Source organism: Homo sapiens, chromosome 16, assembly GCF_000001405.40.
Source record: "Homo sapiens chromosome 16, GRCh38.p14 Primary Assembly".
NCBI lineage: Eukaryota > Metazoa > Chordata > Mammalia > Primates > Hominidae > Homo > Homo sapiens.
Genome location: NC_000016.10, coordinates 2,455,658 through 2,468,262, shown reverse-complemented (window position 1 = coordinate 2,468,262; position 12,605 = coordinate 2,455,658). Strand labels below are relative to the sequence as shown.

Below are 12,605 nucleotides of genomic sequence, written 5' to 3'. Positions count from 1 at the left end.
GCGGCCTCTGCGACCACGCTTGGCACTGCGCCCGCCCGGCCGGGGCGAGGTTGGAGGGAGGGGCGGCCGGCTCGCGGTGACCTCGATGGGAGGGGGCCTCGCCCGCGGCTCAGGGCGCCCCCGGCTCCCTGCGCCCGGCCCTTCGCCTCCGCCGAGCGCGCCAGCACAGGAAGGCGGCGGTCAGAAGCCCCAGGCCCGCACTGAGCGCGGCCAGCGACGAGCCCTGGGCCAGGTCCAGGCGGGGTCCCCGCAGCGAGAAGGTGATGGCCGTGGCAGCCGCACCAGCCAGCACGGCCACGGCACCGAACGGCAGAATGCAGCGAGGCCACGAGCCCCCAGCGCCGCCGGTGGCCAAGAGCAGGGCGCGCAGGGCCCCGGGGGGTTCCGGGTGCGCCAGACCCGGCCCGGGGGGCGAGGCGGGCGCCGCTGGGGGAGGCTCGAGCGCGCTCATGCCGCCAACGCGGTGGCCGCGCTCGGTGGGTGGTGTGGACGCCCGCGCAGTCCCAGTGGCGTTCCAGGCTCGCCACGTCAGAGCCCATTGGCTCCAGAGGCGGTGACGCCAGCCGGGAGCCCGAGGAGTCAGCTGCTACCTCTGGGTTTTGGCGGGGAATCGGGGTGGGCGGGCGTTAGTCCGAGGAGGCGGCTTGTCTTTCCCGCCCTGGACTCCTGTGTTGGGGCCTCCTCAGGACCCCCACAAAGCTATCTAGGCCGCCTCCCTGCTCCAGGACACCACTGTCCTCTGGGTTGGCCCCCGGGATTGGTGGATCATTGAGTCAGTGCACATCTGGCTCCCATCAGGGCCTGGCCGGGGTAGGGGGGATAGCACCCCTGTCCTCCTGAGGCAGACATCCAGTAGGCATGGGGGATGAGCCATGAGCCAAGTCAGCCAGTGAAATAACGTCAGGTAGAGACCACCTGCTCTGGAAAGCCACGGGGGTGTACGGTCGCAGCGTGGTTGGGGGTTTCAAATGAGTCAGTGGCTCCTGCAGATAGAGGCACCTGGGCATAAGCCTGGAGGCAGCAATGGGGTTGCCGGGAGGGGCGAGGCTGGCTGATCTGCACAAGGGGTGCGACCCTGGGGCTGCTGCCAGGCTGCGGTGGCAGGGGGTGGAGCTGCCCTGTCCCTGGAGGCGCCCCCTCAATGCAACGAGGACCATGGTTTTTGGTTTCCTGTCTTGGTCTCTGTCATCTGGTCCCCAGCAGCCCTCAACTTGGGACTCTGGGTCCGAGCGTGTTTCTGGCCCGCTGGACTATAAGGCCCTTTACAAGCACGACCTACCTGCGACGCTCCATCTGGTTCTCAGAAGACCCGGCTTTCTCCAGGTGTCATCCACCTCCTGTCCTGCTGCCCTGTCCAGGGGGGGCACCTTGGTGAAGAGGCCGGTCATCTTCCCTGTCGCAGGTCCCTGCCCAGAGCAGCGCTTGGTGGAGCTCCGGCACTGTCCACACAGAGCACCTGGCCCCAGCTCCCAAAATGTCTGGGATGCCTCGGGCCCTCAGTGCAGGTTCGTTTAAAGAACACTACGAGCACTGGCCATGGCCAACACCACGGCCTCTGTGGCCAGCAGGGTTTTTTTTTTGAGACGGAGTCTTGCTCTGTCACCCAGGCTGGAGTGCAGTGGTGTGATCTCGGCTCACTGCAACCTCCACCTCCTGGGCTCAAGCGATTCTCCTGCCTCAGCCTCCCAAGTAACTGGGATGACAGATGCGCACTACCAAGCCTGGCTAATTTTTTGTATTTTTAGTAGAGACGGGGTTTCACCGTGTTAGCCAGGATGGTCTCAATCTCCTGACTTCATGATCCGTCCGCCTTGGCCTCCCAAAGTGCCGGGATTACAGGCATAAGCCCCCGTGCCTGGCCTTTAGTTTTTATATTTTGAATGGAGACAGGGTTTCAACATGTTGGCCAGGCTGGTCATGAACTCCTGACCTCAGGTGATCTGCCTGCCTCATCCTCCCAAAGTGTTGGGATTACAGGTGTGAGCCACCACGCCCAGCCTGTGGCCAGCACTTTAGATGCCACATCAAGTAATCTCTATGCCGGCCCCTGAGGTCATCACCACCATCACCCAGCATGACAGTGGGGACAAACCTGGACAACTGGGGCTGACTCCTTGAGAATCTTGCCCAGTCCCAGGGCAAGAAACAAGTCATGTTGCAAACACCTCTGTGGCTGCAGAGGGCCCAACCCTGACCCATGCTCTTTCCTGCCTTCCTGGGGAAGGGAAGGAGGCTTGGAGGAGGTGAGAGTGGAGTGGCTAAAGGGTGAAGAGGTAAAAGGCCCTTCCTGGTGGAGGCTCAGTGTGAACCGGTGACCCCACACCTGCCCCAGCACCAGCGCCAGGAGGGGGAGCTGGGCATGGGCACCAGGAGACAGTGGGAAGCAGAGCCGTGTGGCTGTGGCAGAGACAGTGGCCGGCCTGTTCTCCAATATGGCCTTGTGGTTTTCGTGTCCTCCGATGAATGCATACAGCCTACAGCCTACAGGGGGCAGGGCTTTCAGCAATGCTGGGCCTGCCTTGAGTGGCCTTGTCCCGTCCTTTATACAGAAGGGATATCGAGACAGAGTCTCGCTCTGTCACCCAGGTTGGAGCACAGTGGTGCAATCATGGCTCACTGCAGGCTCAAAGTGCGAGGCTCAAGCGATCCTCCCGCCTTAGCCTCCCAAGTAGCTGGGATTACAGGCAGACACGCCATGCCCGGCTCATTTTCAAATTTTGTGTAGAGATGGGGTCTCACTGTTGTTCAAACTGGTCTCAAACTCCTGGCCTCAAGCAATTCTCCCACTTCAGCCTCCCCAAGTGCTGGGATTACAGGCGTGAGCCACCACACCCGGCCCACTTATAATCTTGATAAATACACTTGATATATTCTTTTTCAGCATGACATGTATCAACCAGTGATATAACTTGATAAAATCATAAAGAAACAACAAGGGCTCACCAAGTCCTACCTTGGCATGATTTAAATACATATGCTTTCAGCCAGGCACGGTGGCTCACACCTATAATCCCAGCACGTTGGGAGGGTGAGGTGGGAGGATCACCTGAGGTCGAAAGTTTGAGACCAGCCTGGCCCACATGGTGAAACCCCATCTTTACTAAAAAAAAAAAAAAAAAAAAAAAAAAAAAAATAGCCAGGCGTGGTGGCCGAAGCCTGTAGTCCCAGCTACTCGGGAGGCTGAGGCAGGAGAATCGCCTGAACCCAGAAGCGGAGGTTGCAGTGAGCTGAGATCACGCCACTGCACTCTAGCCTAGGCGACAGAGTGAGACTGTCTCAAAAACATAAATAAACACAAATGCTTTCTAAAGTGGCTTTAATATCACACAAGCGGCTCTTTGGTCTACAGTGAGAGAAAACAGAGGGAGCCAGGAAAGGCTCCCCGCTGGCCTCTGGAGTCCAGGAGCCTTAGGAAGGCTGAAAGCCAGCCCTGACCAGCAGGCTTAGTTGTCCTGAGAAGAGCCAGTGAGGCCACCTGGTCCAGTTCACCAGGTTTCCCAGGGAAGCACAGGCATCTCTGGGTCCCCGAGCACAGTGCCAGGGAAGACACCCCCAATCCCCATCTGAACAGGCCGAGGGCAGCATGGGAAAGGCTCAGACTGCAGGTTCATCCCGCAGGATGGTAAGGACACGTGCTCCTCCCTCGCAGAGCAGGCTGTGCACAGCCCGGCACAGGGCCAGCCAGGGCGGCCCCTGCGGCTGTGCAGCGCTTACCAGGGGGAGGAGTTCAGCCATCAGGACCTGGGGGCAGGGCAGGGCAGGGCCAAGGTCTCAGGGGCACCTAGGCGGGGGGCAATCCTGGGACAGGCTTCGAGGCCCCCATGCTTCAGCCCTCCTCCCTCCTTCTGAGGCTCCAGGCTCCCTCCTGCCGTCCCAGCCCCGTCTGACCCATGCACTTCCCAACCCACACACACAGACCCCAGGCTTGCCCCCATCCTCCTGGGTCCTGGGGGGTGGAGCAGTCAAGCCCCTACCCTCGGGTCCTCAAGGCTGCGGACCTCTGTTGCACCCCCACCTCCTCTTCCAGAAGCACCTTTTCCAAGTGGATCTGCTGGTCCAGCACAGCCACTCGCAGCTTGAGGGCCGCCAGGGTCTGCAGCTCCTGGGTGCTGGAGTAGACAAGCAGCTGGGGGCTCCATGCAGGCTCCGCTCTACCCCCACAGGACGGCGAGGCTCCGGGGGGCCTCCCCACAGGACATGGTCTTGGTGGCTGTTCCGCCACCGCTGTGTGCACAGGAGAATGTGGCCTTTGGGGTAGCAGCCGAACCCAGGGCCCCGCTTTTCCTGTGTGCCTGGCCCTCCCGCATCTGCACCACCTGCCCTGCCTTTAGGAGAAAGGTGGGCTTTCAGGACAGCCCCATGCAAGATGGTGTGTCTTGGGCCTGGACTTGCTGGCAGGGAGTCCTCTGTGGGGTGGCCCTCTGCCTGCCTAATTTCTTTACTGTGTTTATGCATGACTTTTATGAGATTGTCTTTCCTTTTGACAAATGATGTATCTTCACTCTTAAAACTTCAAGCAATTAGAAAATACAAAGGAGGAAACAAGTTCTATAAATAACCACCTCACGCAATCCCAGGCGAGTCACCTCCCAGGAGCTGATTCTCACGAGCTACTTTCTCTTTTTTTTTTTTTTTGGAGACGGAGTCTCACTCTGTCACCCAGGCTGGAGTGCAGTGGTGCAATCTCAGCTCACTGCAATCTCTGCCTTCTGGATTCAAGCAATTCTTGTGCCTCAGCCTCCCAAGTAGCTGGGATTACAGGTGTGCGCCATCATACCCAGTTAATTTTTGTATTTTTAGTAGAGATGGGCTTTCGTCATGTCGGCCAGGCTGGTCTTGAACTCCTGACCTCAAATGATCCGCCTGCCTTGGCCTCCCAAAGTGCTGGGATTACAGGCGTGAGCCACTGTGCCCGGCCTCACACGCTACTTTTTCTTTTTCTGAGACGGCATCTCACTCTGTCGCCCAGGCTGGAATGCAGTGGCGCAATCTCAGCTCACTGCAAGCTCCTCCTCCTGGGTTCACGCCATTCTCCTGCCTCAGCCTCCCAAGTAGCTGGGACTACAGGCGCCCACCACCACGCCTGGCTACTTTTTTATATTTTTAGTAGAGACAGGGTTTCACCGTGTTAGCCAGGATGGTCTTGATCTCCTGACCTCATGATCCACCCGCCTTGGCCTCCCAAAGCGCTGGGATTACAGGCGTGAGCCACCGCGCCCGGCCCTCACATGCTAGTTTTTCAACAACTGGGTGAATAAGCAACTGCTCAGAGCAATGAGGTTCTGTGTGCGGGGAGCAGCGAGGTGGGAGAGCTGCCCTGAGGAGGAGAGGAAGGCTGACTGCTCCCATAGGACGACTGGTGAGGACCCAGCACACTGGGGAGTGGCGTGGGAGGGGTGGAGGGGCCCACCAACTTGCATCTGGTCCCTGGGCTGCTCACCCTTCCCTGAGGCGCAGACAAGCCTGGCTAAAGCACCCTGTCCCCGGCCCAGACCTCAGTGCAGGTGGCAGGGTGGGGGCGGGGTCTCACCTGCACGCAGCTCCTGCAGCCTGTGCAGACACTGGCCCACCATGGCCTGCAGCCCCTCCAGCGTGAGCAGGCAGCGGTACTCCTGCATCCAGTCCATGGGGGCTGCAGAAGAGTCAGGGAGAGCAGGTGGGGCCCGTGGCAGTCTGGAAACCCTCCCTGCACTGGCCCTCCACACTCCTCCTGATACAGACCCAGGACCCACTGACCTGCCGAGAGCTCCTCCCTCATGCGCAGTCTCAGCAGCGAGCAGGCCTTCCGCAGGCGCCCCGCCTCCGCCTCCACCTCCACAGCACTGAGCCTGGGCTGGGGCCCGCCTGACTGGATATGGGTCAGGAAAACTTCCCTGCAGCCAAAGCCCCTCTGCTCCCACCAAGAACGGGGCCTGGGGAGTGGCCCTGGCCATCCCACGCCAGCCCCTCCTGGGGCTGCTCTGCAAACCTGCCAGGTTCAGAGCTAGAGGCCCCCAGGGCTCCCACAAGCCCAGCAAGGATACAGCTGTCTGCATGTTCTGGAGGAACTGGGTTTTGGCAGCGGCGGCATCCGTGGAATCACTGGTCTGTGTGGAACTGAGCTGGGCCCACAGGCTGGGGTGCACACGTGGGGTGCACAGAGGAACCACAGAGGGACACGGTTATTCCAGCCAGTAAGCTGGGCCTTGGGAGGTAGGCAAGGGCCAGGGTGGGGACCCCAGGCTGGGCGTCTGGCTCTGCTGAATGCCAGGAGGGGCCTCCAGAGGCCGCAGGGAACCAAGAGGACACTGACTAGGACAAGGGGACAAAGCTGACCGGCTGGCAGATTTTTAACATCGACAGTGATCCCACTCAGCAAAGAGGACAAAGAGACCCACTGGAAAGTATCTCGAACCTGTCCCCGAGCTGGTGATGCCTCCCGGTTCTCCCCTACCCCCGTCCAGCCAAAGACCTCAGCCTCACCTCGAGTTCTGGGAAGCTGCTTTCCTGAATGCCGCAGGCAGCCGCAGCAGGTGCCTGTCGGAGAAGCCCGTGTTCAGAGGAGCATCGCCTTGCTCTGGGGTCTACAAGTCCCACTTCCTGCTCAGAGCCCAATCAGGGATGAGGCTTCTTGCCCCTCTCCCACACCCGACCCCACCAAGGATGAGCCCCCTTGGATAGGGCTTCCAGAGTGGCCATAGGAGAAGCATCGTCCAGTGCTGCCCCATTAGAGAGAAGAGGGGGCCCTGTGAGCGGGGCCCTGTGAGCAGATCCCACGCCCTCCAGAGCCCATCTGGAGCCTCTGGCCTGGGCAAATAAGGGGACAGCCACAGAGAAGAGAGGAGGACAGGCTCCAGTACTTCCCTGACCTGATGGTGCCAACCTGGACACCACCACACAGCTGCTTCATTCTGCCAGCTTCTGAGCATGAGCCTCAGGGGTATGCCACAGGGCTCGATGCCCTGCCTTCCCTGTCACCCCAAATCCCAGGCTCCTTGCTAGCCAGGGTCTGAGGAGGCAGAGACAGAAGTCCCTCCAGTGAGGGTCCGGGAAACCTACCCCTTCTCCTTGAGTGTGAAGGCTTCTGGGGCCTGAGGAGCAGCGGATGGGGCCATTTGCTGGTCCCTGAGGCCCGCCCCAGGCCTGGGGGTTCGGGCTCCCATCCCAACACGGGTCCCATCCCCCACTGACAGCAGCCGGCGCTCAGGGTGGCCCTTGGCAGGCACCGTGGTCTGGCGGAGGCCCTTGGTGGGTCTCGTGTCTGAAGCATGGCCACCAGCTTGGCCTGGGGAATGCGGTGGGGCGGAGGCTGTCGTGCCAGAAGAGGTGACAATGGACCTAGATTTCAGGCTGGGGGCCTTGTCTCTCTCTCCGGCCTTAGTGATGCCTCTTCGAACTCGTACAGCCTTCTCCAGTGCCTGGGTCAGAAACTCCAACTCTTTGAGGTCTTGTGGACTGGGTGTGCATGCTGTGAAAGCCAAGAATTATGCAGGGATCTCTCCCCACTGTCCCCCAGGAGGGTTCCTCACAACTGCACGCCAGCAGACAGGCCAGAGCAGCACCTGGAGAAGGCGGGTGGTGGAGGTTTACCTGGAAGGGGGTCCTCTCCATTAGTTTCTGGCCCTGGAGGTGGCTTCAAAGCCCGGGTCCCAGTTGGTTCCCTGCAAAGACACGGGCAGCCGTCGCACGGCCAGGAGGCAGGGCCCAGCCCAAACAGACCCGAGGGGGCCGCCGGGCCCCGCGGCAGGCCCCCAGCTCAGAGCCTGCAGGGTAAGGAGGGTGGCACTGACAACCCACAGCTCCGAAGTGGGCGGCTGCGCCCGGTCTCCCAGCCCTGGGCGCTCGGGGCGGGACTCTGAGGGCCCGAGGGAGGTCTGGCCAGTGGGTCCGGGGTCCGCGTACCAGGCATGCAGCAGCCGACGGCAAACGCGCAGGCTCTGCTCCAATTGCAATTGTCGCTGTGCGCAGGCGTCCAGGGCGCCCTGCAGCTCGGCCACCAGCCTGGGGGACGCACCGGCGGCTCAGCACCTCGGCCAGCGTCGGGCCTCGGGCCCCGCGCCTGGCTACCGGCCCGCCCGCATCCTCCCACCCCCTCCTGCCGCGCAGGCCTCACCGGCGCGAGCAGCCCGCCGGCAGCATGAAGGCGGCGGCGTCTCCTTGCAATTTGCCGCCTCTGAAGAGCCACGCCCCTTCCGGGAGGGAAGGCCGCCCCTTCCCGGCCGGGCTGCCCAATCCTGAACCGGGGCTCAGGGGCCGCCCCCGAAGCTTTCTCTCCCTCCTTGCGGGCAAGCCTCAAGCCCCGCCCACTCCTGCCTCCCAGGTCTGACGGGGACTCCGGCTCGGAGCTGGGCCCCCGAGGCCGCCAGGGAGGTGACTGCGGGCGACGCCGGGATTTTGGTTTGGGTAACTGGGTAGATGGGGGCGCCATTATCGCGCTTCTCTTGCAGGGGGCCGGTGAAGGTTATACGAGAGGCTCCATCTGTCCTTATTGAAAGTGCTCTTAACGCAGGGACCAGCCGTCTTGCTGACGCCTGGGCCACCGAGCACAGGGACAGGACGGGGTTGCTGGAGGTGAGGATTCCGCGTGTCAGGGGCGGGGATGAAGGAGGAGAAAGTGTTCACTTTTGGACATGTGACGTGATAGCACTGGGCAGAGGGGAGGAAGCTCAGACCTTGGAGCAGTGGGCCAGGCGAGGTGGCCCCTGGTGGGGCAGGGGACGGGTAGGGACAGATCACGGGGCCCACGCAATGGCCAGGGAGGTGGAGGAGCAGTAGGACAGTGTCACAGAGGCAACAGGAGGCTGTCACGGGAGGGAGTGGGTCACAGGCCAAGTGCTGCTGAGGCCTCGGCGGTGTACACAGCACAGCAGGGGGGCGGGGGTACAGGGCCTTCGGTGATGCGGGGGACACCTGAGGGAGGAAGTGAGGAAGGCAGCAGGGCCCCATGTAGTTGGTGTTAACAAGAATAAACAATTAGGGGGCAAGAAATCCCAGGCGGTAGCTGAAAGAAAAACAGAGCCTGGGGTTGCTGTTTAAAGATGGGACAGGTGAGTCCATTCCATAGTCGTTAATGGGAAGGTGCCATCGCAGAGGGGAAGGAGGGCACAAAGGGAGTTGTCAGGGAGGTTGGGACCCAGGCAGCTCTGGCCCAGCGCTCCGGGTGGGCCCCTCCATCAGCGGTGGGGGAGGGTGACGGTGGCCCTGCCTCCCTGGAGATTCTCTGTGAAGGAGGAGGCAGGGAAATGCTCAGTCAGCAGGTGGGTGATGCAGGAACCCACCCACCACAGGCAGGCGGGGCCAGGTCCCCCTGGAGTGGTTTCCTCCTTCAGGTGCAAGCTGGGAGAAAGCAGAGAACTGACTCCATGCAGAGTTGGGATTAAGAGCCCCTGGACAAGGGGCCGAGGCAGTGAAGGACGTCCATCACTCATCTGCCACTATCCTCCTCACATTTAATCCTCACAACACCCCTGTGAGGTAGGTATCATTGCCCCCCTTACAGATGAGGAAACTGAGGCTCACACATGCCCAGGGGCACACAGTCGACAGGACGGGTCTACAGTTCCAACGCTTGGGTTCTCACCCCGACCACACCCCACCCAGGGTGGCCAGAATTCCCTTATAGTAGCAAAAAGACAGCTGCCGCGGACATGAACACACATAGCACCAGCACACATAAAAGCAGCAGCTCAGTGAGCATCTCCCATCCCTGGGTTTCCGGTTCAAGAGCATTTGGGGGCCAGGCGCCGTGGCTCATGCCTGTAATCCCAGCACTTTGGGAGACCGAAGTGGGCGGATCACTTGAGGTCATGAGTTCGAGACTAGCCTGGCCAACATGGTGAAATCCCGTCTCTACCGAAAATACAAAAATTAGCTGGGCGTGGTTGGGTGCTTGTAATCCCAGCTACCCAGGAGGCTGAGGCAGGAGTATCCGGGAGGCGGAGGTTACAGTGAGTTGAGAGTTGAGATCATGCCACTGCACTCCAGCCGGGGAGACAAGAGCAAAACTGTCTCCAAAAAAAAAAAAAAAAAAGCATCTGGGGGACACTTCTGGCCAAGTGGTTCTTTCTTACATTTGCAGAGTAAACAGAAGTGGATGGCAGCAGGGTGTGTTGTGGTCAGCCCGTTCCCAGGGAGAGGCCATGGTCACATGGCCCCAGGCAGGCTCCCCAGGCGTGGGCTGCTGGCTCCCAGGCTCCCTTTCCATGCAGGAGCAGAGTCTCCGTGGCCAGCAGGAAAGCCCAGGGGTCTGCCTCCCTCCCACGGGCCCCCACAGCAGAGCTGCAGTTGGGATCAGCCAGGACACGGCCCCCGACTGCTCTGCTCTTCTGCCTCTTGGTCACCTCAGATGTTACAGAGGACTTGAAGTTTTTTCTGGCTAGCCTATCTGGGAAAATTCTTTTTGCATAAAGTGTGTCAGGATGGCATTGAGGGGCTGGAGTAAGATTTTTGTTTTGCAGGTGAACCTAAATAATGGTGGGAATCTCTTGTTTTTTTAATACCTTCTGTTTTAAGTTTTTCTTTTGTTTTCATCTTGGAAGAAGGAAATTTAGAAATAAGACAGGAAAAGAATGGCCCAGAAATTCAGCACAAAGAGAGGTGTTCACATTGACGCCATCTGTGGGTCACATACGAACGCCTCTGGGACAGAGCTCTAAAACGAGTCACGTGTCGTAGGGAGTGGGCCTGTGGCCAAGGCAGTCCTCGCAGTGTGCAGGGACGCAGGCCCCCTTACCATGGAAGCCCCACCCAGAAGGAAGTGGGTGCCCCATGCAGGCCGAGGTGGATGAGGGGACAGTGGTGTGCTCACAGCTGTCAGCTCCCCACTGAAGCCCCAAACCAGCAGATGTGGGCAGGGGCTCAAGTGGTGTCTGACTACCCAGGTCACACGTGCCTTAAGCGTGAAAGCTGTCAGCTCCCGGCACGGGGCTCTGGTGGGGCTGGGAACACCAGGACACACATGGGCTGAAGCTTCCAGAGACAGTGAGACACGGAAGGGACAGAGAGGTGCCCTCCACACAGTGTGGCCAACTGCTTCCAGGCTAAACTTTCCAAAGAGAGGGATCTGAGCTCTTCACCCTCATTTCAACATTCTGATGGCTTGCACGGGACTCCCGCGGAGACAGAAACTTGGTGGCCGCAAGTCATCCTCTCTGCTCTCTGCGCAAAGGCCTCCATGGTCTATGCAGCGTTCCTATGCTATGCTCCCACCCTTCGCCTCCAGCCCCCTCAGTACACATCCACTGCGGCAAATGTGCTGACACACTTACAGCCTCACAAGGCCCAGGTTCATGTCCTCCTCCTCACTGTGTATGCATAGGTTTATCCGCTTCACCTGTTGCTGGGGAACACTGCTCTCCGGGGGACTTGGGGGACGACACTGTAAACATGACTTCCTGGCCTGATGGTGGCAGGGCTGTGTGTGCGAGTCACTGTCCAGGGACAGCACTGAGGTAGGTTGGGGCAGGGCCCCCAAGCCACCGTCCACGGAGCTTGTGGGACTTGCGGTGCTGACGGAGGAGTACCCTGAGGTCGTGACGTCCTTCCCTGGCTCCCGGCTGGTGCGGACCAGGGGTTTGGGTCCAGGGGTTGCAGGGATCTGGGTGTCCAGCGCCAGTGCCTGTGGGTCCTGGGGTCCCTTGTCCTCTGGACAAGCCTCCTCATCACTGGATTCCTGGCAGCAATGCTGTTCTGGGTTCAGGTAGACCACGGTGACATCGAGGATGCCGCTGGGAGCTGTCACTGCAGGAAGGTTGGTGGGGAGGGAAGTCATGTCACACCCAAGCATCAGGGGAGACCCCCTGCCAGGTCAGGACCCTGAAGTCCAGGTCAAGAATCTTCTACCTTGCTACGGTCCCCTGTGTTACCCTCCTGTGGTGAGAAGCGTGGGTGACATGCCTCTTCCAAGTTGGACAGCTGCCCGCCATGACTCCAACAAATGTGGAGATGACAAGTTGGCCATCTAGCTCAAGCCAAGTGGACGCAGAAGCAAGCAACCGGGAAACTGACAGGACTCACACTAACTGGGCTTCTGGCAAGGACCCCGCAGTCTGCCTGGGGTTTGCACAGGGCAGTGATCCCAGCAGGGCAGTGAGGAGTGTCACGTATACCACGTGGGCACACCTCAAACAACATTCTAGAAAGAACGCCCAGGCTACAGTGCAGTGGCATGATCACGGCTCACTGCAGCTCCCACCTCCTGTGCTCAAGAGATCCTCCCACCTCAGCCTCCTGAGTAGCTGGGACCACAGGCGCACGCCACGATGCCCAGCTAATTTTTAAATTTTTTGTCTTGCTGTGTCACCCAGGCTGGTCTTGAACTTCTAGCCTGAAGTGATCCTCCTGCCTCAGCCTCTCAAATTGCTGGGATTACAGGCATGAGACTACAGGCCTAGAAGGATCTCCATGAACTCCAGACAGGGTCTCTGCCTCCCTCATCCTAGTGAGGTCCTCCCAACACGGAATGAGCAGGAGCCGGATAGGTGTGGCCTAAGTCCTCTCATCCCTGTGTGGTGGGAGCAGCTGTGGTCTTTTGGGGGCTCTCCCCTCCTCTCTCCCCATGTCTGGACACACTCCCCGGCGGGGCAGGAGCTGGCCCCACCCCGCACTCTGTGCACATCTTCCTCCCA

At 60.1% G+C, this 12,605-nt stretch overlaps 2 protein-coding genes, 2 long non-coding RNA genes and 1 other non-coding gene across 7 annotated transcripts in view, besides 6 other annotated features; 2 read left to right on the top strand and 3 right to left on the bottom strand.

Moving 5' to 3' along the window:
• Positions 50-3,313, top strand: TEDC2-AS1 (TEDC2 antisense RNA 1). Its single transcript, NR_135198.1, has one exon. It is a non-coding gene; the product is annotated as a TEDC2 antisense RNA 1 (long non-coding RNA).
• Positions 92-141: a silencer, noted in NCBI's record as "silent region_7049". NCBI's record gives its function as "represses an Ori minimal core promoter by ATAC-STARR-seq in GM12878 lymphoblastoid cells {active_cell/tissue: GM12878}" and the evidence as "EXISTENCE:reporter gene assay evidence [ECO:0000049][PMID:35858748]".
• Positions 152-491: a silencer, noted in NCBI's record as "silent region_7048". NCBI's record gives its function as "represses an Ori minimal core promoter by ATAC-STARR-seq in GM12878 lymphoblastoid cells {active_cell/tissue: GM12878}" and the evidence as "EXISTENCE:reporter gene assay evidence [ECO:0000049][PMID:35858748]".
• Positions 552-601: a silencer, noted in NCBI's record as "silent region_7047". NCBI's record gives its function as "represses an Ori minimal core promoter by ATAC-STARR-seq in GM12878 lymphoblastoid cells {active_cell/tissue: GM12878}" and the evidence as "EXISTENCE:reporter gene assay evidence [ECO:0000049][PMID:35858748]".
• TEDC2 (tubulin epsilon and delta complex 2) lies at positions 3,300-8,154 on the bottom strand. Of its 2 annotated transcripts, NM_025108.3 has the most exons (10): positions 8,093-8,154; positions 7,882-7,980; positions 7,570-7,640; positions 7,039-7,447; positions 6,463-6,516; positions 6,024-6,114; positions 5,737-5,848; positions 5,531-5,632; positions 4,034-4,224; positions 3,300-3,741 (listed from the first exon to the last, which is right to left on the bottom strand). In NM_025108.3, exons 1-10 carry the CDS (start codon positions 8,116-8,118, stop codon positions 3,595-3,597), a joined length of 1,302 nt encoding a protein of 433 aa, NP_079384.2. In that variant the 5' UTR covers positions 8,119-8,154; the 3' UTR covers positions 3,300-3,594. The 2 variants fall into 2 exon arrangements, with proteins under 2 accessions (NP_079384.2, XP_011520969.1); XM_011522667.2 differs by lacking the exon at positions 7,882-7,980.
• Positions 4,225-4,296, bottom strand: MIR6768 (microRNA 6768). The gene has a single exon (NR_106826.1). It is a non-coding gene; the product is annotated as a microRNA 6768 (primary transcript).
• Positions 7,816-8,165: a silencer, noted in NCBI's record as "silent region_7046". NCBI's record gives its function as "represses an Ori minimal core promoter by ATAC-STARR-seq in GM12878 lymphoblastoid cells {active_cell/tissue: GM12878}" and the evidence as "EXISTENCE:reporter gene assay evidence [ECO:0000049][PMID:35858748]".
• Positions 8,285-12,197, top strand: LOC105371050 (uncharacterized). Its single transcript, NR_188689.1, has 5 exons — positions 8,285-8,349; positions 8,427-8,550; positions 9,309-9,453; positions 11,297-11,429; positions 11,678-12,197. It is a non-coding gene; the product is annotated as an uncharacterized LOC105371050 (long non-coding RNA).
• Positions 8,546-8,635: an enhancer, noted in NCBI's record as "active region_10267". NCBI's record gives its function as "activates an Ori minimal core promoter by ATAC-STARR-seq in GM12878 lymphoblastoid cells {active_cell/tissue: GM12878}" and the evidence as "EXISTENCE:reporter gene assay evidence [ECO:0000049][PMID:35858748]".
• Positions 8,866-9,680: an enhancer, noted in NCBI's record as "H3K4me1 hESC enhancer chr16:2508584-2509398 (GRCh37/hg19 assembly coordinates)". NCBI's record gives its function as "activates a minimal SCP1, AML or CMV promoter by ChIP-STARR-seq in naive H9 embryonic stem cells {active_cell/tissue: H9 hESC(naive)}" and the evidence as "EXISTENCE:reporter gene assay evidence [ECO:0000049][PMID:30033119]".
• The window catches only part of CCNF (cyclin F), a 29,408-nt gene continuing 26,211 nt past the window's right edge, over positions 9,409-12,605 (bottom strand). For both annotated transcript variants that reach the window (NM_001761.3, NM_001323538.2), the window contains one exon: positions 9,409-11,718. In NM_001761.3, the coding sequence (NP_001752.2) occupies positions 11,243-11,718 (476 nt within the window). In that variant the 3' untranslated portion in view covers positions 9,409-11,242. The remainder of the gene's footprint in view (positions 11,719-12,605) is intronic.

What these genes read in the sequence shown, in the direction of transcription:
- TEDC2 (NM_025108.3), bottom strand. Translation starts at nt 8,118, where the DNA reads ATGCTGCCGGCGGGCTGCTCGCGCCG. An exon ending in GAGGGAGGAGCTCTCGGCAG is followed by an intron (nt 5,633 to 5,736) that starts GTCAGTGGGTCC and finishes ACTCTTCTGCAG; the next exon opens with CCCCCATGGACTGGATGCAG. An exon ending in AGCAGATCCACTTGGAAAAG is followed by an intron (nt 3,742 to 4,033) that starts GTGCTTCTGGAA and finishes CCCTGCCCCCAG; the next exon opens with GTCCTGATGGCTGAACTCCT.